A 25,248-nucleotide genomic window follows, 5' to 3' on the forward strand; every position below is an offset into this window, starting at 1 on the left:
ACATGCCCCTTTTTTAAAAAAGAAAAATCCCTTGTTGAAAAAGAAATTGACAATTTTCCTTTTCCTATGTATCTCAGGATGAGTGACTCCCCTAGAGTGACTTCATAGGTAATTGAATTTCATATGAAATTTACCAAATAACAAAGGTCTGATATACTCTACAGATCATTCCATATAGCTGAAATACCTATCTGCCTGCCTGAGGCTTTTAAACAAAATGCCACATGAAGAACTGGCATATTTAGAATAGGGAAGTATTGTCCTCTGCCAAATTTGTCAGCATTGCCCATAGCAGAGGTGGACAGGAAACATTTCAAATACCATATATGATACCTTCCCTGGTGGTCTAGTGGTTAGGATTCGGCACTCTCATATACCATATAAGAGGCAAACAATCAACTTTTTCAACAACTTTGTAGTTCACATAGCACAACCTTATTGATTTTTGGCTAAGGCAATGAAAGGGTTCTGTGCTCAGACCAGAGAGATAGAGAGCAGGGAGAGAGAGAGAGGTTGAACAGAGCACTGAGTCCAGGGTTACTTACACTGGGTCACAGAGCAACCCTAGCTGGAGGGTAACAAGGCATATTTTGATTAGCCCATCTATAAGCCAGGTTCTGAAGACACACTGAACCCAGGAGGGAGTCTCAAAGGCTACTGGCTCTTTATCAAAGCCAACTCATAGCTCAGATTCTGAGCCTTGGTTCTAATTGCTAGCATCCCATCCCCCCATACCTGAACCTTTCACTTGCCTTACCAAATCCTTCAGTGCCTTCATTTCCTTCTGTCACTCATAAAAAGAACAAGCTTTGAAGCAGAAATGTTTGGGGGAAAAACAGCAACCTGTACCAGCTATAAAATAAACACATCTCCAGACCTCTGAATAAAGAAGGGGAAAAAAAGTGTCTGGCAGGGTCTCTCCCCCTTTCCTCTCTGATACTAGATTTTTATTTCCCACCTCATTCATATAAAAAAGATAACCCACAGAGTTATGCACCAAACTGTGAGCAAAAATGAATACAGTTAGGGTTGTGGTCTGCTCTCTGTTCATTTGGTAATTTCCATAAGCAAGCTCAGAGCACTCAGGTAGTTAGTTTTCTTTTCTAAAGCTAAGGAGCTAATCTTAAGCAAATAGGCACTTCCTACTTCTTCAAGCATTTGACTCAACTAGAGACAGTACATAAACACAGTGTTTGGTAATGTTGTAATGGTATCTGATAACACTCTAGAAACACCTCTTAATGAATCAGCAGAATCTACCTGAGTTAGGGCTGTCACCTTCCATATTCTGGTTAGGGGCCCATCACCCACATAGTTCAATGAAAGGCCTTGAAGGTATTGCTTTAACAAGCTCATGATGAGGACACTCACTAGAACTAGAGAAGCTATTGCCATGATCTGAAAACTGTATATGAGCTAGGCACGGTGGCTCTTGCCTATAATCCAACACTTTGGGAGGCCAAGGTGGGAGAATCCTTTGAGGCCAAGAGTTCAAGATCAGCCTTAGCAACAGACTGAGACCCTGTCTGCACACACACAAAAAAAATATTTAATTAAAAAATTAGCTAGTCATAGTGGTGCACACCTGTAGTTCCAGCTACTTGGGTGGCTGAAGTAGGAGAATAGTTTGAGCCCAGGAGTTAGAGGTGGCAGTGAGCTATAATCGCACCACTGCACTCCAGCCTAGGTGACAGAGTGACACCGTCTCTAAAAAAAAATTAAAAATAAAAATAAAACCTATATATGTATATATACAAGTTTTTTTTTTTTAATCTTAAGCCTAAAATAAGAGACTAAAATAAGAGGCCAAAGAGAATGGAGACACATTGCAACCAAATACCCCCAGCCCCAGTGGGATCTCTAAATTTTTCTTAGATTATTATTGCCTTTCAGGTTTATGTATTTCTTTTTTTGTTTTGTTTTTTTAGATGGAGTCTCACTCTGTCGTCCTGACTGGAGTGCAGTGGCGCAATCTCAGCTCACTGCAACCTCCACCTCCCAGGTTCAAGTGATTCTCATCCCTCAGCCTCCAAGTAGCTGGGATTACAGGCGACAACCACCACGCCCGGCTACTTTTTGTATTTTTAGTAGAGATGGGGTTTCGCCATGTTGGCCAGGCTGGTCTTGAACTCCTGACCTCAGGTAATCCGCCCACCTTGGCCTCCCAAAATTCTGGGATTACAGACTGGAGCCACCACTCCCAGTTCAGGTTTATGTATTTCTTACCTTTCTTCTTTTTTGGCTATAATTTAAAAAAGTATTAAATCTTTTCTTCTGATTGAAAAATCTCCAATGTTTTATAAATAAACAATCATGGTGTGCCAGCTCCATCGTAGGACACTAGTGCAGATTATAAGGATGCCAAGTGGAATGAGACACTGTCCCTGTTATGTAAATCTCCTAGGAGAAACACACTCTGATATTTTCAATAGTTAAATTCTAGAAAGGTTTTCTGGCTAAGTTCATATCTTGTGTTTTCTACATCCTCTTAAAATCTTACTATTTAAAATATAAAGACAAAAGAGCAATCTACAAAAATCTATGTATATCTCTTTTGTAACCTGTGATTTAATCAATTTAGACAACTGCCTTTGGTTAGATTTGGGTAACTAAGAATATGCATGGAGAAGCAAATCCTGACCTAATTCTATCACTAACTAACTGCTGAAACCTTTTGCTCTCTTTCCGCTTTTGCTCCTTTCTCCCACTTTCCATAAGCCAGTCAAAGTATTCAAGCTCCACATTATTCTAGCTGTAGAGACTTCTGCTCCAGATATTAATGTCTATAAAAATATTATCTCCCAGCAAAACCTTCCCTGTCTCTCAAAAGTAGGAAACATTTACCCATTCCTTTTGTATCTTCTCCCACTTAGTTGTGTGTGCCTCACGCAGGGGCTATGGCTTATTTACCCAGCTATCCTTTGCACACAGTATAATGCAAGATGCATAACAGCTACTAAGCAGTCAATAAACATTAGCTCCATGAACTTCCCCTCCAACATTTAGCTTAATATCTCTACATGCTAAATGCTGAATTTGTACTGATTGGCTGATATAAACTCTTAATTTGCCAATCATTAGAGGAAAAGCATTACTATCAAGTTTGCACCACTATTGTTTAGGCTATTATGTCTTCAAACTATTATAGCAAAATTCAGGCTATGCAACAAGCAGAAGCAAACATTAATGAGACAGTGCACTTGTGATACCAAAGCATTCCTCAGCCAACTGTCTTTTACTCTGCCTTTTACTCCCTGCTATAATCATTCAGTTAATATTTGCTAACCGATGAGTTGAATAGTGATGCATCATAAACAGTCTGATGACAGTACCAATTATAAAGACAAGAAAGGACCATGTGTTTATGTTCAGAAAAGAAACTGGCAAAGGCAGCATAGTAGAGGGGATTCAGCTGGGACTGAACTCAGGGTGCCTGATTATCTTGGCTAGTTCGCTATTCCACAAGTGTAAAGAAACCTATGGTGCTCATCCACCCTAGTGGAAAAGCATCTTTCCTACTGAAATTACCTTCCAGCTGCATAATGTCTGAACTATAGGGCTCTAAAAAGAGATTTCAACCCTTCGGTCAAGACTCCCTGAGCACCTGCTGTAACTCAGGTTCTATAATAAACAATAAAAGAATAAGATCTCAGACACTCACAGTCTAGTCTAAATGCTGGCAAACATTTTTTGTATAAAGCCAGATAGTAAATGTTTTAGGCTGTGTGGTCCATACAGCCTCTGTGGCAATCACTTTTGCATGCAGAGCAAAAGCAGCGTTAGAAAATATGTACACTATTAAATATGGCTATGTTTGGGTTGTAGTCTGCTTTATATACAAAATCAGGCAACTGACTGAATTTGGCCCACAGGGCGTAGTTTGCCAACTCTTGGTATTCAGGTACATTTTTTTAAATTGCAAAACAGTGAGCTGTATGTTGATGAAAGCTTCCCCTTGCATTTGCATAACATTTCATAATTTATGAAGCTATTTCATATATATTAGCTCAAAATTTAATCCCTCATACCAACCCTTTAAAATAGGTAGGTCTTATTATCTTCATTTTATAAATAAGAAAACTAAGGCTCAAATAAATTAATTTCCTTAAGTCATCATATAGGTAGAGATGGAGCTAAGATTTGAGCTTCCACCTTACAGGCGTAGATTACTAAATGCTCACCAAAACTTACTTCCTCTTCCTCCAGTGCACACAGACCGACTGCATTTTCCAGACTCCTTTGCAGTTGGGTGTGGCCATGTGATTAGGTTCTGGCCAGTGGAATTTGGGCATTGCCCTTTAAAACTTCCTCATAAAAACTGGCTAACATGATCCTCTGCTTTCTTTTCTCCTTCCATTTGGCCAGAGGAGGTACTCCTAGGGTAATCTTTTGGGTAACATGTTGACAACAGCAGAACCACAAGACAGAAGCAGCCTGGGCCGCTGAATCATCTCTTGGAAGAGAGCCACTCAAGCAGGAACACTTGTATTAGACTGGGAAAGCAGTAAGAAATGTGTATTAAGCCACTGAGATAGCTTTATCTGCATATTACTTTAGCTAATAGAGCCTGTGCCCAGGTCCAGTGTTGTTTGCATTCAACTATAGCCAAGATGCAAAGGATGAGTTTACCAGGCCAATGAGACAGAAGAGATCATATTTCAGAAGGGGACATTCAGGCAAAGCAAAGAGTGCTTTCAAGAAAGAAGAAATTGTTCTACATGGTTAAATAGTAAACTAGCAAGGTAGTGGAAGGAGAGGAGGCAAAGATAAGCACTGGGAAAGACCTGTGCCAACACTGCGGTAAAAGGACTTGGAGAGAACAAGAGACAGCAATTAGATCTGCCTCTAGCACACTCAATCTAAGGAAGAAGAGGCTGGAGGCAGGGAGACCACCCCTAGAGTCTGATCAGCCCCGGCCTCACCAGAGCAGAGCTGTGAGCCGGCAAAATATTTTCTTTATGTACCCTGATTTTTAAATAAATCTGATTTTTTCCAATTATAAATGTAATATATGATAATTACAAATGTATAAAGAAGTATGAAGAAGAAAATAAATCACAAATAATCTCATACTCAAAGATAACCAGTATTAATATTTCAGAGCATAAACTTCTGAGCTCATTTTACCTTTCTCTTTAGCAGATATGTTTAGGCATGAAGAAAAATGGAAATGTAAGATAATATTTTCAATTGACTATAACTATCAGCATCTTCTCATATCAATCACCATAGATATTCACATACTATTAGTAGCCTTGTGCACACAGTATAGATGTGCTATCATTTTTTAAAATCAATTGTCTACTAGTATATATTTAGGTTGCTCCCTTTTTCTTGCTATTACAAAAATTATTGCAATAAACTTACTTATACATTTATCTTCGTGCAAATGTACAAGCAATTTGACAGGACTAATTTCTGAGCCAAAGAGTTTTTCTACTGTCAAATTGCCCTCCAGAGAGATGGTACTAATTCAGATTCCCACTAGTGGTGTATAAAAGTGCCAATTTTCCCACACTTTTGGTGACATTGAATGTCATCTTTTTTTTCCTTTTAATTCTTTGGCAATCTGGTAAGGCAAAAACATATATATCTATCTCATTCTTTTAATTTTTGAAAACACAGTTACTCAAGTTTTTAGTTCTCTTCTTTGTATTTTAAAATATTCTCTCTGGTCTATGGATGATCCTAAACATATATTTATTATCTTTAAAGTTACAGTGTGTTTAATTTATACAACTGGGCTAAGTGAATAGAAGCAGAGTCATTTTTGGATTTGAAAGACTTAGTGTGAAAGAAGTTAACACAAATAATCACATGTTAATTCTCCTCAAGGGGTATCAAGGATGGTGGGTGAATTAGCATTGTCAGAATTGAGTAGATAATCTATTTCTGCTTTTATGTGCTCTAAATAACAAGCCAGGTACTCATTAAAATTAGCTAAGGATTTGTTTAAGTTATTGCTTCTTTGGTGTTTTTCACACCTTTATCATATGCTTGACTTATCTTTGGTTTTGGTTATATACTAGCTAGGGCAAAGGGTAAATATACAAGGAAGCTTAGAGAAAAAATATAAGTAGAAAACTAATATAGGTTGTCAAACCTGAGAAAAAGGAAATGATGAGACACAGATGAGGTGTGTGTGTGTGTGTGTGTGTGTGTGTGTGTGTGTGCATGTGTGTGTAAGACAGATACTAAAATGAGCAGGCATGTATTATTAGGACATATATTCCAAGGTAACATTTATTAAAGGCCTATGTACCAAGCACTGGACAAGACTTGTTATCCACATTATTTTATCTGATCCTCACAACTCTTTGAAGTGCACAGAATCCATATTTTTTAAATGAAAATGCCCAAAATCCATATTTTTAAATTGTGTGCCAGAGAAATTGACCAAGGGATTAGCCAAAAGCTCAGCCACTATTAGAACTTTCGCTTGTCTTTTGCTATAATTTTATTCCAAATTCCATACTCTCCCCCACTGTACACTAAAAAAATCCTGGATTAGAATTTCCAGTGCTCTCCCTGACACCAGTGTTCCTCTTCTCTCATGTAGGGGTACAAAGAAACAAATAAATGATAAAGTAAAAAGGGGAATGGGTTGCATGTGAGAATAAGGGATGGTCCCAGCAACTTTAATAAAGGAATAAGAAAATAAATTATCTATTGAGTATATGAGAAATTAAATTGAAGGGAATGTAACCTTAGAATAGTGTCAGAAAAGTCAGGAATAAATAAGTTCAGGATAAAGAAGTAGCACAATAAAATAATGGCATGAAAAAACACACATATTTGTAAAATGAAAATATTTCTAAAATGAAAAATAATAACTAGAAACCACATAATTATAAAACTGATTGGCTCAACTGAGAAATATTATGTCCAGCCCCTTAATCTTAACCTGCTGTTAAAGGAACACTTTCTCCATTGTGTTAATATTCTTAATAATCACATGCCAACTTCCCCACCACTTTTTAAATGCAGTAACCAAAACTGAACCCTTTCATCAAAAGAGTCACGTTGGCCAAGCGCGATGGCACATGCCTGTAATCCCAGCACTTTGGGAGGCTGAGGGGGGTGGATCACCTGAAGTCAAGAGTTCAAGACCAGCCTGGCCAACATGGCGAAACCCCATCTCTACTTAAAAAAAAAAAAAAAAAAAAAAAATACAAAAATTAGCCAGGAGTGGTGGCGTGTGCCTGTAATCCCAGCTACTCAGGAGGCTAAGGCAGGATAATTGCTTGAACCCAGGAGGCAGAGCTTGCAATGAGCCAAGTTTGCACCACTGCACTCCAGCCTGGGTGACAGAGCAAGACTCCATCTCAAAAAAAAAAAAAAAAAAAAAAAGAGTCACATCACCCAGCAAATACAAAGAGAATGCTAGTCAGGAACTGCTAACACTATTTGCAGTAACAATCAACAAGTTGAGAACTTTCATCTGTTTGTTGCTCTCTGTGAACCTCATCGGGGCTTCTGCCAAGCCTGCCAATATTTGCTTCACTTTGCTTTGTTTCTGTTCTTAATAACACTTACCCGAGCTTAGAACAAGAAAAAGCACTGGACTTAGAAAGATCCCCTAGCCCAACACAAGAGGTAGACAACTGACTCCAAGGTCTGACAGTTAATTCAGGTCAAAGCCAGATACAATCAACCATTGATTCTTATCTTCGTGGGCATGCATGGGGTTTTATAAACCAAATATATTCTAAATTGTATTTCTATGTAAAAAATAAGACGAATTGAGAAAACTAGGGAAAAGATGTCTAAAAACAGAAAGGACAACTGTGGAGAGATTACAACAAATAGGAGAGGGTGAGGGTTCAGAGGGGAAAATAAGAAACGTGAGCCTAGGCTGGGTGCGGTGGCTCACACCTGTAATCCCAGCACTTTGGGAGGCCAAGGCGGACAGATCACCTGAGGTCGGGAGTTCAAGACCAGCCTGGCCAACATGGTGAAACCTTGTCTCTACTAAAAATACAAAAATTAGCCAGGTATGGTGGCACACGCCTGTAATCCTGCTACTTAGGAAGCTGAGGCAGGAGAATTGCCTGAGCCCAGGAGACAGAGGTTGCAGTGAGCCAAGATCACGCCACTGCACTCCTGCCTGAACCTCAGAGAGAGACTCAGTCTAAAAGAAAAAGAAAAAGAAAAGCGAGACTAAAGAGTAGAATGGGATGGCTTCATTCTTCATCCATTGTATTCTTCCTTTGTCCCCTTGTGCATAACTGGGGACATAAATGGTGTAACTCCTTTCTGTTTACATGTGTGTGTGCATGTATGTACTACATGTACTGACATCTCTGGAAAAACACAAATCCACATGCCAAAATATCAACCACAGTTATGCCCGAGGAGTGGGCATCACCACTTGCTTTCATCCACTACTTCTTCAGAAAAAAAAAAAAAGGCATACATTTGTGGTCAAAAACAGTAAGTAGTAATGAGAGAATATGAAATAAGTTGAGAATGACTATACACAAAGATTAAATAGAGAACTGGCTAAGCACATTTTTTTAAATAAAATAAGAAACTTGAAGGCCAGGCACAATGGCTCATGCCTGTAATCCCAGCATTCTGGGAGGCTAATGCAGGAAGATCACTTCAAGCCAGGAGTTCAAAACCAGCATGGGCAACATACTGAGACCCCATCTCTAAAAAAATACAAAAATTAGCCAGACATGGTGGCATGCACCTGTAGTCCCAGCTACTCGAGAGGCTAAGGTGAGAGGTTCATTTGAGCCCAGGAGGTCAAGGCTACAGTGAGCCAAGATTGTGCCACTGCACTCTAGCTTGGACAACAAAATTTGTATGTTCTTATTCTCTCATTTTCTTAGTTAATTTTCTGGCCTTTTCATTTTTAAAACCATCAGTGAGAACATAAGAAAATAAGTTAGTAAATAAAAGGAATACAAAAATGAGAAAATAAGGAAGGTATAATATCATTGAAATTAAGATTAAAACCTCAAAATCAGAAAAATACTCATGGTGTGAGAGGCACCTGTTTACTAAGTCCAACTGAAGACCTGTCTCCTGTTCATACTGTTCATATTTCAACAAGTAGAAATAGGAAGGTGGAGATATGAAATGGCTCACACGATGTATAGTCTTCGTTCTCTTTTGTTGATCACATAAAAGTTTAATTTCTTTATGAGACCTACATCAATGGCGTAACTCCTTTCTGTTTACATGTGTGTGTGCATGTATGTACTACATGTACCAACACCTCTGGAAAGACACAAATCCACATGCCAAAATATCAACCATGGTTATGTCCAAGGAGTGGGAAAGGCAAGAAGAAAGTTCATTTTAGCATTTGATATAAATCAAGATTGCTTGTTTTTTTAAAACAGTCCTTGGGTATAACCTTAGACATTCAAAATAAAACAAAGAAAAAAGATTATCAAGGGCAAATGATGAGCTCAGACATAAAGATGAAATGCAAAGAGAAATTATAAAAGAGGAATGAAATTGTCCTTTAAAGCTGCCTTTTATTTCATTTCTTCTTTTCTCATTTGATTTTATTTCACCATCTGGGGAAAGAGGGTTGCCTCAGAGCCCTGCTTGTATATTTTCTCAAGTTTTATCTTTATACATCCTCCCTGATAAAACTGAAAATATTCACATGGATTTTAAAGAAAAGCAAGAAGCAAGAGGTCACTGGATTAGACGAAAACCTTATGTAACACACATATGCAACCATGACTTATTCTTTAAACAGATCGATAGAAATAATCATTCACCTTTCTTTAGAGAGACAGCTGAAGTAACTCTAGCTCACTCATGGTAGCTTCTGTTTTGCTGACAAGTAATTAGAGACAGTTACAGATCATTTGTCAAAACTTCAATGGGTAGGGTTCATGGCCCTGATCTGAACCAATTTCTCAAGCAGATGACAAGACCCTTTCCCTTGGGCTGTGTAATCTATCTTTCATAGCATTTCTAGACTCTTTTTCCCAAAATACCACTTTTACATCACCCATATACTCCAAAACTTACCATGTTCTCACCTTGCTCTTTAGATCCAGCACAAACTCCTCAGGGAGATATTAAAAACACGGCTAACCATTCTTACCCCACTGCTTCCCTGTGCCAAACCCTGTGTAACCTACCATACTGTTCCCCTTTCCATCTCGCACTCAGGAAGTATATATTTGCAGGCCCATTTATTCCAAGGAATATCAGGCCAACCTGTCGGCTGGGGAAAGGCATATGCACAAAGGAGGAGATGTTAAATGGAGATGTCTTCATAGAGACAGAGAACCTTTTACAAAAACAGGCAATCGATTGCTTCCTGCCTATGTATCTTACCACCTCTAACAAAGTAATAACATTTCTAAGAGAGGGAACAGAGCTGCAAGTCCAGGTTCCAAAGTCAGCCAGCAGGATTCAAATGTCAGCTCTACCAGTTACAGCTGACCTAGAGCAAGTTCTTTTCTCTCTCTGCACCTCAGATTCCTTGCCTCTAAAATGAATATAACTATATGCACTTCACAGAGTTATGATGAAGATTGCTAGTTGCCAAAATTAGTAGTAGGTACTCGATTTTTTTTCTAATGAATTTGATCCCAACATTTGCTATAGAAAACTATAGAATCTGTCCTTTTCCTCTGATGCTATGTTCTGAAGCAGTAACCCTAATCAAAATAACTTAGGCGGTTACTTTGATGAGCATTTATATAGTCACAATAATGTAAATGTAAGTAATCACAGTAATGTGAACTTTGTTTATTGATATTAAACTTTTAAAGTCAATCTATGATCAAAACATAGGAGGAGTGATTCTGAGTATAGAAAAAGAATGAAAAAATAATTATACTAAGAGAAGTTAGGAGGGATAAAAGAGGCAAAGGTTTGGCAAAGGGAGAGTGATGGTCACTAGGTAGAGTAATCCAGCTGGCAGAGCAGGAAACCAAAATGTAAGTGAATTGTTAAAACTACAGGGATAACCAATACAGTAACCAAAGAGGACATGGGGCAATATAAGTGAGCTATTTCTCATCTATCATAGAAGAAAATCAATAATTAATATCAAAAGTTGAGAAATCAATAAGTGGCAGTGTAAGTGCATCAGTTGGAGATATAAAAGTAACACTAAAACCCTACAAAAAGGAAAGTAAAAGAGTTAAAAGTAATTTATTTGGAAAGAGGCGAAGAAGGCTGAGAAAAAACTGTATTTTTCGTTAATAGTTCTATAATATTGTGTTTAAATTTTTCAACTTTTTAAATTAACAAGGCGTAACAAAAAACTCTATTCACAATACCGACTAAAATCATAAAAATAAACCTACCAGGAAATGTGAACAACCTACATGAAGAAAGCTCTAAATCTTGACTGATATAATAGAAGGACCTAAGAGAAAACGTAAAATATGATGAATCCTACTGTGTTCCTGAAAGGGGGAATCAATGTCTTAAAGTTGGCAGTTCTCCTGAGTTAATCTATAAATGTAATGTAATTCCAACCAAAACCCCAACTAAGTGACTTCTGGAACTAGACAGGCAGTTCTAAAATTTATCTGGAATACAAAATACATGAAAAGAGCCAAAAATTTCTGACTAAGAACAATAAGGGAGAACTTGCCCTCACAGATAATTCAGAAATAAACTAACAGCTCTGTAGAACAGACTAAAGCACACAACATTACAGGTATCACCTTCTTCATTAAATAGGGAAACAGCCATATTCCACAATGTGAAACACCAAGAAATGGCCACAGACCTTCCTGCCCTAATGTTACATTTGGACTGATTATGCAAGCAATATGACAACATTCAAACCAAATTCCTACAACCTAGGAAAAGTTGAGGAGGGGTTCTCTAACTTCTTGGAGAAATCATTTTTTGTTTGCCATAAAAGAATAGGATACTCATAATTAGGCACAATTCTGTCTAGTGGACAAGAGGTCACGACCTTACTAAGAACAGAAGTGTTAAATTTCTTATCAGGCAATGACTTTCTTGTAACTAATTTATCCCAAATACAAGGCAGTGACTGAATAACAAGTGTATGCAGAAAAAGCAGCAGTTATGAATTCTACAGCAGCTTTGATCAGGGGCAAAGGACACCAATGTGGACTTGAGAGCCTAATGTTTTCTTATGAAAGATCATCTTAGCTAAGAAACTTGAATAAAGACCATTGTTTCCTCAACTATTTACTGCAACAGCTTTCTGGTCTCCAGTGCTCCAGCCTCACCCGTTCCACCATCAGTCTCCAAACTGTTGTCAGAGAGCTCTTTCTAAAACTCAAATCTGATTATTCTCTCCCCAGCTTAAAACCTTCTGTTGCCTTTTTTTTTTTTTTTTTTTTTTTTTTGGTAATAATGTCTAAATTTCTTAACCTGGATTACCAGGTCTTTATTATAACACCTGGTCCTTGCTACTCCTTCAGCTTCAACCCTTGCTTATACACCTGACATCATCCTCATCATATTTCAAGGCTCAGTTCAAATGTCACCTCCAGAAATCCTTTGCTGACTTCTCCATACTCAGGTACCACTGGAATGTTCCTCTATTACAGTATTACTGTTATTACAGTAATATAAGCATGTTTGTGCACTATACCAGAAGTTACTACAAGAGAGCTAAGTTCTTTTTATTCATCTTCATATCCCCAACCAGCACCTTGTAGATAAAGCACATGGTCTATCTCTATTAATTGTACCCATTAATGATTAGCAGTTGAGAATTCCACAAGAAGCTCTCCATTTTCCTCCCTAAAAAAAACAGCCTGTACAAAGGATTCAAATGACATAGCATGAGCAAAATCACAAATATCTAAATGTAGCAACTTCTAAAAGAAAAAAATCTGTATGACTGAGAAGGGTAGATACAGCTCTCATGATCTGGGAATTGGATGGCTCAATTCCAGCCACAGATCTGTTACACGTCTTCAAGAAAATTATGCAGTCTCCCTATGACTATTTTTTCTTCTTATAAAAGAATGAGATTGCTATGGTTTCTTCCTGCTCAGAAATCTAGGACTCGCTCTTACGTTGACATCTACCCTTCCATCAGGCATTCGTACACAGCATGCACACTGCTGGCATGTAGGCTATACTAGGCCATGGGGGAAATTAGTAGCAGATGGTACCAAAGTTCTAGGTCAAAGTGTATTTACTGTCATCCCAGAACAAATATGATTTCTTTTCATTAAAGTATATGAAATATACATTATCCTTATTTGTACAACTATACCATCTTACATATCTGGGGTCCTTTTCTATCTTTCAAATGCTTTCAGAGACCAGTAATTCTTACAACAACCTTGTGAGGTAAGCAAGAAAGTAGTATTATCTCTTCTTACTAAAAAGGAAATTGAGGTTCAGAGACACAACAAGATGATAAAAACACCTTCCTTACATGCCTCAAGCTTGCTCCTGCTTCTAGTTTTATGTTGCAGTTCAGGTCCCTACGTCTTCTCAGTGTTGTTCAGAATCACTAAGATGAGCTTTAGTGCATTACATGAAATTCTAAGGTAAACAACAACAATAACAATAATTTCCTAATTATATACACAAATACAAAATATAGGAGCAAACATGGGCTTTATACTTCATGGTCTTCCTGCCTCCGAATAAACATTCCTCAACTTTGTACTCCAGTCAATTGAAGCCACTCCACTAATGTTACTGTTTAACAATGCAACTCAGATTTCATGATATTTCAGAATCTATCAATTTCACACACTCAGATATAGAGTTGATCTGCATAATTCAAGATGTTCCTTTTAAAATTGATCTGGAAATCAGAAGAAAGATTTTTTGAAAAATAGTCTTGCTACCAACTGAAATGATTTTAATACCAAGATGGCTAGTCAGTAATGAAAATTTTTCATTCAGCAGAATAAAATCACTAAGATAAATAATAGAAAATCTATTAAATAAAATATGAAATATTTGCTCAATGAAAAATCTCTGGTAAGACATCTGTATGTGAAAACATCTACCTTGAAACAAGACACCTTACATTCATCAACTTTGAAAGCTTATATGAGTAGGAAAATTATATCAAATTTCCACTATGTTTAAGAATTAAAGCTCTATTTTAAATTTAAAGATCATCTTATGTGGTAAAGGTAATAGAAGTCACTTTCATCATTACTTCCATAATGTGTAAAGCAAGACGACCCTGATAGTATGCTGTGCAGTTCAATTTACTCCTACATTCTGCATACATAAGAGTTTCCAAACATATTATAAGACAAAACTCTAAATGGAAATCCTTCTGACAAACTGCATGTTAAGTAAGCCAAATCCTTCCCTATTTCTGTATGAAAGCTTCTTCCCAGGCTTAGAAAACTCAGGTATACTCAAGAAAATCTCAACCATGGTACAATTTATGTTTTGAATAAAAAGCAAACATCAATGCTGGTACTGGGAACATGGCACATTAAAGCTGAAACCATAAACTAGCAACAATCTCCAGACAGGCTTTCAGATCAGCATTGATGGGATAAAGTTACATTTGAGTAGACGCATATGAATAACCTGAAATGACAGACAAATTTCAGTTTGAAGGTAACTTTAGAAGACATTTCTTGACATGTCATTTATTCTGTCTGACCAGGAAGGAATAATTCTTATAATTCAAGAACAATCTCCATAGATTTTCAATTTCTAATCTCCTAACTCATACTTTAAGATGTTTTTCTCATGCTCCTGGAGCTGACAGGCTGTAAGAACATGATACATGGATCCTGCCTCCATTTTATCTGTGCTAAATACTTCTGCCATTCTATTTTATAGAGCTAATTATTTTTACTATCCCTGACTAGTTTTAATTGATACAAATTGGGAATCATTCTCTCCAGATTATTGTAGAAAGTTAAAATATAGCTTTATTCATCATTATTCAAACTGAACAAGACTTGACAATGTTTCAGTTAAAACCTACTGTTCATAAATGTCAGACAAATGAAATTTTTAGGCATGTCTGTATCCTGACTTATAACCTAAGAATACAAATTATTTTCTCACTGACCATTTTAATATAATGATATACTTTCAGTTTGCCAGCATGCAAATTCTACTCTTATAAAAGTCTACATTTATACGAAAAAAACACTTCTGCCTAAACAAAAATACTTTGTTACCTCATTTCATACTGAAATATAATAAATATGTTCTGAAGAATTCAAATAAATATTTAACTTAACTAAACATGAAATAAAATAAATGTTTACCATCTTTTACTAGGACTATTACACTTACCTTAAAATTAGTAGTATGAGTCTTACCTTTTTCTGGACTTAAGTTTTTATACACTTCAAGGTCTGCCATTAAATTTAATACTATTACACATTATTGGCAAGAGCAGTACAATTTCTCTCTAAAGGCAAAGCCTTTTCCTGATACACATTTCCAAAAAGGGTGGGGGGAAAAAAGGCAAAGAAATCCTTAGCAGCCCCCAGAACTTGGCTCATGCTGCCCTTTATGGCATGATGAGATCTTCACAATTCAGGCTTTATAGTGTGGAGAAAATAAATCCATGAGATATGATTATAGAACTTTGTCCCAAAGTGAAAAGCACAGCCAGATAAGCACGCTGGAAGCATCTGCTCGGGGCTGCCGCTATTGTGGGAATGCAGGCGCTGTGGCTACTTTGGGTATGAGACATGCATGCTTCGTGCAGCGCGTTAAAGCCCTCAAGGCATTATGCACATTTAATGTCTGGGAAGTGTAGGTCTTTATCCATCAAAGAAACCCTCCTCACCTTCAGAGGTCATTGAGAAACACTGATTACCGTGGGAGTGACGCAGACTGAATACAGAAAATGAACATGCACACACAGAGACACAGAAGCACACACACAGACACACACTCTCAGAAGCAAACATCACTCCATCGGAGGCAAACACAATCCATTAAGAAATAAGCTACGACTGCCCTATAGGCTACTTTTGTGCAAGTCAGGTTAAGTGCATATTCAAAGCGTTGAGGGTTTTCCTTGTTTTTTTGTCCTGATTTTATTCACACACAAACATAGCAATGATCACAGAAAAGACTGGAATGTTTCCAACTTAGAAGGAATGAGGTTACAGTTTGAAAACACTTACTCGGTGGAGGCTATTTCTCATGTTTAAAAAAAAAATCACATGCCTGTGGACGTGGACAAGGTAGACAGCATGAATGGGTCTAAAAAAGTCAGTTTTTAGTGAATGAAACCACACATTATTATAGTGCAATTTTCCCTAAAGTCTATGTAAACATTATTTGCAACTTTATTCAACTTCTTTGAAGAGATAGGTAGACAGACAGACACATAAGCAGATACAGTAGCAATTTACAGTAGTCTTGCATTGAGGCATTGTAACTAAGCCTCTCATCCTGAGTATTAACTCTCTCATTCCAGCATTCCCTTTCTAATATCGACCCTATTGCCATTTTCTTCTCCCAGCTTCAGCTGTCCCTCACCCACCTGTGGCCCTTAGGACTCCCAGCATCTCCCATTCTGCATATACCAGTGTCAGGCCCTTTAGGCAATTCCCACCAGGGCCACCCAGCCTAGATTGCTAACTCATCCCTTGATTCCAAGGTGCCAAGCTCTATCCCAGATCCAATTCACCTGTGTCCCAATTTGCACATCCCCTGCCCCAAATTGCAAACTACACTATTTACTTTCAAATACTCTAGGGAAACTTGGATTTCAAAGGTATATGTGGGCACACACAATTAAATACATGATGAAAATATCCTTCTTGCAAGATTCAATCTACCATACATACATACATCACTATACAAAATAGCCATTAAGAGTTTAGGAGCCTATCTGCCTAGGTTCAAAGACTGACTCTGCCACCAACTAGCTGTGAGACTTTGGGCAATTTACTTAAATTCTCTGCTCCTCCATTTCCTTATTTGTACAGTGGGCATAGTAATAGTTTCTACTTCAAAATGTTATTGCAGTAATTAATTTAATACACATAAAGTGCTTAGAATCACAATTATATATTATTATTGTTTTACTATTATTAATCTTGAAATTCTTTACATCAACCCAGGAAAGGAGTGGACTTCATTGCTTAATCTGAATTAATTAGTGGTCCGAACACAAGATGGCACCCCAAAATGTGACATATCTGAGAAATACCCATTCCTGCTAAATAATCCAAGTATTTAATACTCCCAGATAATTTTATACAAAAAGACAATGGTGTTTTCTTAACACAAAATTGGTAACACCAAGTAACGAATATCTCGTTCCTTTGTCTGCCCAGAACCAAACATGCCCAAAAAGCAAGAGGCATCTTGGGTTTATCTCTTGCTCGGTCCTGAAAAGAGGTGAAGACCAAAGCACTCCCAGCTCCCAAGAAGTTTTGGAAAGGCTTCCTTCCAAAGATCCCCCTCCCCACTCCAATCTGGGGTCAAGAAAGAGGAAGGGGACAAACTTTTTATGTGCTCACTTTACCCACTGGGAGTCTTGCTCATAATAAGTTTTTCATCCCTCTCACCTCTTGCTCCTGAAGCCCCAGGCTCCTCCCTGAAAAGGCTGACATGCAGGATTGGATATGGAGCCCAACCACACAAGCACATGGCAGGTTTATTCTGAGTGGCTCTGGGGCACCGTTGAGGGCCAAGCCACTTACCCAGGGGGAGCACATAGCAGCTTCATAGGGCAGGTGGGCAAGCTTTTAAAAAGCAGCCATGGCCCATAAGTGTCTGTTTGACCACAAAGGAGCACTCACAGATTTTTGAGAGCCTAGAGATATCTACTTATTATTAAATATCCAATTCTTCAGCAGTAGCAAATAACCTCCTATGCAGCCCATTCAAAAGAATCATAAAACTTATAAACACCTATCCTGAAGTTGGCAGAGACACTGAATGAATAACCACATCTCTGAAATCACTCCCCTGTATTCTCCCAACAGAAGGTCATGTACGATGTCAAAACTAGGCCAACAGACTTTGGGGACAATGGTGCTTCCTCTGATGGGTCACCTCAACAACCTTACAGCCTTAGAATCTTTAATTTCTTAACTGGAACCCTCATTTGAAAAGTCTGGGCCTTTTCCAGATTCGTTCTAGCATAGTACTTGGCATACAGTAGGTACCTTATAGACCCTCATCAACTTTCTCCATTTTTAATCATTAGACCTAACATGGAATTACCTTCACCAATCAGGTGAAAAATAAAAAACAATATTTCTGAGTTCAGCTTCTAAATTTACAATCAGTGAAGGACTTTACACCTCATCTGACAGCATTTCCCTCATCTTTCACACCTGAGTTCTACTTCTGATTTCTTAAAGAAACATCATAAAGTGTAATAGGTAAAAGCAATGGTTTCCATGGAAGATGGAGAAAGATGTAAGCCCCAGCCTCTTCCTTGATTCACTGCCTGGCCTTGGGTCAGTTATGGGTAGGGTTGTCATATAAAACAAGACACCCAGTTAAATTCGGATTTCAGAGAAACAACAAATAATTTTCAGTATAAGTATGTCCCATGATATACTGTATTTTTTCTTGCTAAATATTTTCTGTATTTTTTTCCTGTATTTTTACTTGCTGTAATATTCCTGTATTTTTTCTTGCTAAATCTGACAACACAATGGGGGTGGTGGGGAGGGCTGGTGCTCTCTAAACCTGTAAGCCTAAATATCCTCCCCTGGCAATGGCAGTACCTACCTCAGAGGGCACTGCTGAAGAGTAAATGGGTGGTAGAGGCCAAGGGCCTAGCCCCAGTGGCTGGAAAAATAAATACTCCATAAATAGAAGCTAATGCAGTAAGTGAATGGCCACTCCAATCACTGGCTTGATATAACTTCATTTAACCAAGTCTCAATGTTTAAAATGTTCTATACAACCCTCCCCCCACACCCCAACCTCACCAGTCATATAATTCTAAACTGAGATAAACTCGGAGTGAAAACATGGTGCATATCTGCCCTTAGGGCTCACAAGTCCAATCAGAAAACCTACTGACGCAAACCTAGGAACCATGTCACTTAATGAAACATTATTATAAAAGCTACCATTTACCAGACACCACTATGCAAATATTATCTTCCCTAATCTTCATGAAAATTCTGCAAGGAGATATATTAGTATCCACATTTTAAAGGTAAGAAAACTGAGATTCAAGTCTGAGAAGATGTCCAAGATCACACGGCTGTGATGAACCAGAATTCAAACCCAAGCTGACTCCAGATTTGGGCCCTTTCCCCTGGCTCTGTGCTTTAGGTCCTGGAAACCATGTCTAAAGTTTTAGGCCTGATATCGAAATTCCTCATGTTTTTTTCCCAGCTAGAAAATATTCCCACACAATGCCAGAAGCTGTTAGTGTCTCTGGCATAGAAACACAGAAATGCTTTAAAAAATAAATAAATAAATAAAAATAGTCGGCTGGGCGCGGTGGCTCACGCCTGTAATCCCAGCACATTGGGAGGCTGAGGAGGGCAGATCACAAGGTCAGGAGTTTGAGACCAGCCTGACCAACATGGTGAAACCCCATCTCTACTAAAAATACAAAAATTAGCCGAGTGTGGTGGCGTGAACCTGTAGTCCCAGCTACTCAGGAGGCTGAGGCAGGAGAATTGCTTGAACCCGGGAGGCAGAGGTTGCAGTGAGCCGAGATCATGCCACTGCACTCCAGCCTGGGTGACAGAGCGAGATTCTGTCTCAAAAAAAAAAGTCAGTAAAGCCATAGTATCACATTAACTTAAAGCATATTCACAGTTTTCATCACAAAATGGAAAGTAGGGGAAAAGCAAGTATAGGGTGCAGCTTCGCCATTGAGAGCCTCCAGTCACACCCAGCTACCACTTCCTAAGACCTATCCCACATACAGGTACCTCAATTAAGGGGAGGATCTCACAGGAACTTTCATACTCTGCTGTTAAGTTGTACATTGAGAGCATAAACTGTAACAAACTTAATGAAGTCATCAGGCAAGATGCAGCAAGATTTGTAAAAATGGTTATGCTTATTTTAGTCAATAATCATTGCTGCTAGAAAGCTACCATAAGGAAATCATCAGAAATATAAAAATCTATATAGAAGGAAGTATCCTTTCCTTAACATTTGTTATAATAATTAATAACTCTCAACTGTCTAATTGTCTACCAAAAAGGGAATGATTGACTTAAATATACATTCACATTTTGGAATACTGTCTAACCATTAACGATGTCTGTAAGACATTGCAATTACCTGGAGAATGTTTGACATACTAAGTGAAAAAAGGAGGATACAAACTAACTACTAATTAAAGGAAAAAAGGAGATACAAACTAACTACTAATGTTACTTTAAATACGTAAAATATAGAATATAGACATATAGAATAAATCCTATAAAAACATATGAAAAAAATGTTATCAGAGGTTATCCACAGCTATCTCTAGGTGTTTTACTTTCTTCTTTATATGTTACTATATTTTGATTATTTAGAACCAGCATTTATTTCTTTTATACTCAGAAAAAAATAACATTATTTTTTAAAAGTGTAGCCAGTTTAGTAACACTAAACTTAGAAAAAGAATATAATCTCTTCCCACTAATATAATATGGAAAACTTGCTTTGAGGCTTACTAACATTTATGAAGCACTTTACTATGTTCCAGATACTGTTCCTAGCATTGCACATGCCTTATTTAATCCTTACAATGCCCTTTTGAGTAGATTAGGTACAACCATTTCTCTAGTCTCAAATGTGGAACCTGAGGCAAAAAGCACTTACATAACTTCCCCAAGATGGCACAGCAAGTCTGTGATAGACCTGGGCTTTGAATCTCCACAGAATGTCTCTAGAATCAGTGATCTTCACCAGATAAGGTAATACGGAGATCTTGAGTCACTTATTGCCTTCAGTCTCTCTTTTTTTATCTGAATGTCTCACAGAACAATGAACAGAGCAACCAGAGCTTAATTCCTTTTAGGAAATTTCACTGTGCACTCAACTACAGAGGAAACCCAAAATCATTGCTATAAGTTATATATCAAAATCACCAATGTAGCTATGCAAACACATGAAACCTCAACAAGAATTTTCCAATCTACATGCAACCCCAAAGGGCTAGATGCAGGGAAACTCCCAAGTGGATGGTCCAGGAAGATGTTCCCAGGATGAGCAAGCACATTTCCTTTCCATAAAATAGGGGGGTTTTTTACTACCACTGAGGCATTGTCCTGTCTGAACCCCTGCTTAGTCTTAAGCTGTTCCAGAGTACTCTGGAGACAATGGGCACTAATCTTTCATCAAAATCCCTTGACCACTCAGTCATCCTTACTCAGCTAGCTGTCCTGGGCAATATCTGGTTCTGAAGCAGAGGGTAGCACTATCCATTATTTGGCCTGTGCAAATCACAGAAATAAAAAATGAACTAACTGAAGGGTTAGACTTTAGCCTCTGAGTGTCTGCTAATAATCTATGGGACAAACTGGAAATATGCTTTCAGTTTTTATTTACAATGGACTCAACTCACTAAAGATGTAGTCAATGCAAACTTTGAGTTAAATGAATGAGAGAAGGTAGAGATCATTTATCAATTCAAACAAGCCCAGCATAGTTCATGCCTTTGGCCTATTCATCATCAGTACATTTGAGGAAATTGCTATTATATGAAGCTCAGAAAGCCCCATCAGGATTGCTTCAGAAAATTGCTGCAACTTTTATATTAAACCCCAAGGAACAAAATGGAATGCTACTCTGAGTTCATATACAAAGGAAAAGGCACTTCACAAACAAAAGTGTATGCAATGTACCTAAATGCTCAATTAAGGTAGTAATTACAATCTCATCAATCCTATGTGATGCTTTATAAACTCTACACCTTACGAAGTCCTCTAGGAACACATACCCCACATGAGCCTGACAGCAACTACAGGAAGGCAGAGAGGCAGAATTATCATTCTGCATTTGCAAAAGAGGAAGCTGAGCCTCAGCAGCTCCCTATGAATGTGCCCAAGATCACAAAATTAGTCAGTGGAAAAACTGGGCTTTCTAATCCAAACACAGTGCTCTTTCCCCACACCAGGCAAACATGCTTAAAATATTATTGCCAGCAAGAATTGCTAGACAACAGGATAACAGAGTATAACCAAACACTTAAATTGCAAACCCAGTGTATTACAAAAATTTTAGCTGAGAAGAGATGAAGACCTGTAGGGGAGCAGGTTTCCATCCAATGCTTGCTGAATAAATGCTGAGAATAGCCTACACAAGTGTTTTACTCAGAGAGCAGGCTTATTGTGAATGTTTATTCATCACTGGAGAGATATAACTCTATATTCTAATGAGACAGAACATGTCCTATAGATCACACACACTTGTCAAATAAACCAGTTTGGATCTCTCCTGCATTAAAAACCTGACATGCATCAGTGGACAGTAATTGCTACACATTTTTAAGCATCTGAATCTCAAAACAAACTGAGTATAACCCATATTTAATTTTGCTATGTTCCACAGGACAGAGATGAGCCACTCATTAGCCTGACTGCCTCTTTGAACGCTGCCTGCTTGATGACTTATTGATCTCCCCTTCGAGACTCTTGGTTTTCATTATTTTTTGAAAGACTTGATTGTTTATTGGTCATGTCACTTTAAATTTTATAGGTTAGCATAAAAATTTGTAGGCACATCACTGTCAGCTTGATGAAGATGTCAATATAATTGAAAATAAAATCTCTCATAGACTCAGAACTTGATTTCAACTTGAGCAATCCATGAAAATAACCAAGACCTCGTGGGCAAGATTTTATACACAGGTGCTATAAGAAACCCAGGAGCTTGCAGCCAGGGAACACTAAAGCACACTGAACTATCTTTGGTAATGACTCAGAAAATGTAAAATTCTGATTGACATTTGGGTGCCATGAACTCATATCCAGCTATAAATAAAAGTACCCAGACTTTGTAAATCAGCATCAGCTATTTGAGCAGCTACCATCAGTGCTGATCAGTGTTAATCATAACATTAACAGAGGAGAATTAACTAGAGATAGGTAGTCACACGGGAATCTCTCATGGTTGTTGACAGTGACATATATTAAAACAAATATCTGTCCTGAGGACTGAAGCTTTAATTAAATTCTCAAAACTTACTTAGTCATATATTCAAACTCCCCTACAGTACTTGGGATGCACTTTCCCCTGAACAGAAGCCCCTTTACCTCCTTCCTTGGGAGGTGGAGCTGGATGACTAGAGTGGAAATGTCCAGAATAAATCCTAAGTGCTTGTATTCTCCAGCACTCCAGCTAAATGAGGACTGTTTGGTTGTATAATAACCACACTTGGACGTACCTGATATCTTAATACAGGATATTTTATCATGCCTTAATCTGCCATCTCTGAGTCTAATAAAAGGTAAATGATATTATCTGCCCAGGCATGGCTTGACTTACAGCCAATCAAATAGGGATTACAATACATGCATTCAAATAGGAGATACGCATGGTCATCATAACGCAAACCCCCTACCCCCTTATCCAGCAATACTGAGCCCTGGGACACTACATATACAGACTGGTCCCATAAGGAAAGCAAACATAGAGATAACCATAAATTGGGGGAAGCGGGTAGAGAGGAGAAGATGATTCTAGATTATTGAACACAACAGCCACATCTCTGGGAAGTCTCTTCAGGCCACCCAAACTCAAAGGCCTGACTAAAGAGAGTTCAAACTTCGAGGCTGCCTCAGAACCACCAGGTCACTTCAACCTGAGCAGAATTCAGGGTTGTTTGCTCTGTACAACCAGAGACTCTCCTGAGAACAGGAAACGGGTCTCCAAGGGAGCGGGATGGCCATAAACTCCTGAAGGACTGGAAGGGGAATGCCTCCTCTGAAAATCTAACCCTGTAATGTCTGAGGAAGACATTTTATTAAAAAAAAAGATGACCTTTAGAGAAAGGATGCCCTTAAATGGTTGAGGCAGGGAGACCTCACTCCTCTTTCTAAAAGAAAACCAAGGAAAGAGATTGTACTGGCTCCTCCGGTAACAATTTTCAATACGTTACAGCTCACAGTACTATCACAACAGTCTAAATTCCTAAACTAAATTACTCTACAGAAATGAAAAATCAACTCCTTTGTCTCTCCCTTGATGAAAGAGAAAGTAGCTCTTCTCCACAACTTCAGCAGTACAATTTTACACATACTAATAGTTTTTGCAGTGTCTCCTTACCTCTTTAGCCTTTCTTCTCATATTATTTCCCCCTAACAGTACTGATTTATTAATTTTGCATTCTGCCTAAGACAACAGAAAAATAGACACAGAAACAAGGAGGAACATAATGTAAATTCCTTGAGAGCTAGAACAATGAATGTCTTGCTCCCTGATGTATCTCCAGGGCCTAGAACGGACCAGAAGAGTAGTGAGTACCAGGAAGGCCTGAGCACAGAAGACCCACCCAGATCCAAACTCAGATTCTGGATAGTTTTCCAATTGTCGGAAGACACTGGGCATAAAGCAAGACTCAGATCCCAAAGGATAACAGAGGGACTCCAAAAGCTGGGAACATGAAGAAAACCAGTTGCTCAATTGTGAGATACGGTAAGGGTAAGTGAGGGGATGATGGCATGTAGCCTTTTCTCTACAAATCAGGGAGAAGATTAAGGTGGCAGCTACTAATGGACAGTTCCCTTGGATGAAAATTATCAACTTATTAAAATTTTCCAAATGGCCTTCTGGTTAACACTTCAGCCTAGTGATTTAGGAAGAGAGAGAGCAACTGTGGTACCAAGGGAAGGCAGAGCTCCTTAGGAGAAAAAGAGAAAGGACAAGTCAATTCCAAATCCAGAAATAATTTAACTCAGTGGAAGAAGAGTTAAGGGGCATAAAGTAGTTGGAGACGATGTGACAGTCAACAGATAAGCAATCAAAAAGACTTCAATTCAAATCCTGGTTCTACCAGTAACTTAACAATCCAAGCCAAGCTATTTTAAATCTCTCTAAGCCTCAGTTTCCCCATCCTCAGCAATATCTATAATAACAGATGCAAAAGTTCCTAGCCCAGCATATAAGTGCTTTAAGCAGGATGAGCTACATAATCTGCTGGCCCTGTATGAAATGAAAACATGGAGACTTTTCCCCCTCAATTATAAAGAATTTCAAAATGGCAACAGCAAAGCATTAAACCAAGCACAGGGCCCTTCTAAGTCACAAACACACAAGAGGCTTGGCTCTAACCCTAAGAACTTGGTAGGATTTACAAAAATATTTTTCTCCATGTTTTTTACTTTCCTCTCCCAGGTTCATTTCCCTGTAGAGACCAGTTGAAAAAACATCTTTCAGAAACCAAGG

The 25,248-nt window shown here is 38.2% G+C and overlaps 1 protein-coding gene across 17 annotated transcripts in view; it reads right to left on the bottom strand.

Moving 5' to 3' along the window:
• The window catches only part of PLCH1 (phospholipase C eta 1), a 294,138-nt gene that overhangs the window by 209,824 nt on the left and 59,066 nt on the right, over window positions 1-25,248 (bottom strand). For 4 of the 17 annotated variants that reach the window (XM_005247239.2, NM_001130960.2, NM_001349250.2 and 1 more), the window contains exon 1: window positions 15,240-15,586. The exons of the other annotated variants lie outside the window; for them this stretch is intronic. In XM_005247239.2, coding sequence (XP_005247296.1) covers window positions 15,240-15,282 — 43 coding nt within the window. In that variant the 5' untranslated portion in view covers window positions 15,283-15,586. Of the gene's footprint in view, window positions 1-15,239; window positions 15,587-25,248 lie in introns of those variants that run through there. 17 annotated transcript variants of the gene reach the window in all.

Source organism: Homo sapiens, chromosome 3, assembly GCF_000001405.40.
Source record: "Homo sapiens chromosome 3, GRCh38.p14 Primary Assembly".
Lineage (NCBI taxonomy): Eukaryota > Metazoa > Chordata > Mammalia > Primates > Hominidae > Homo > Homo sapiens.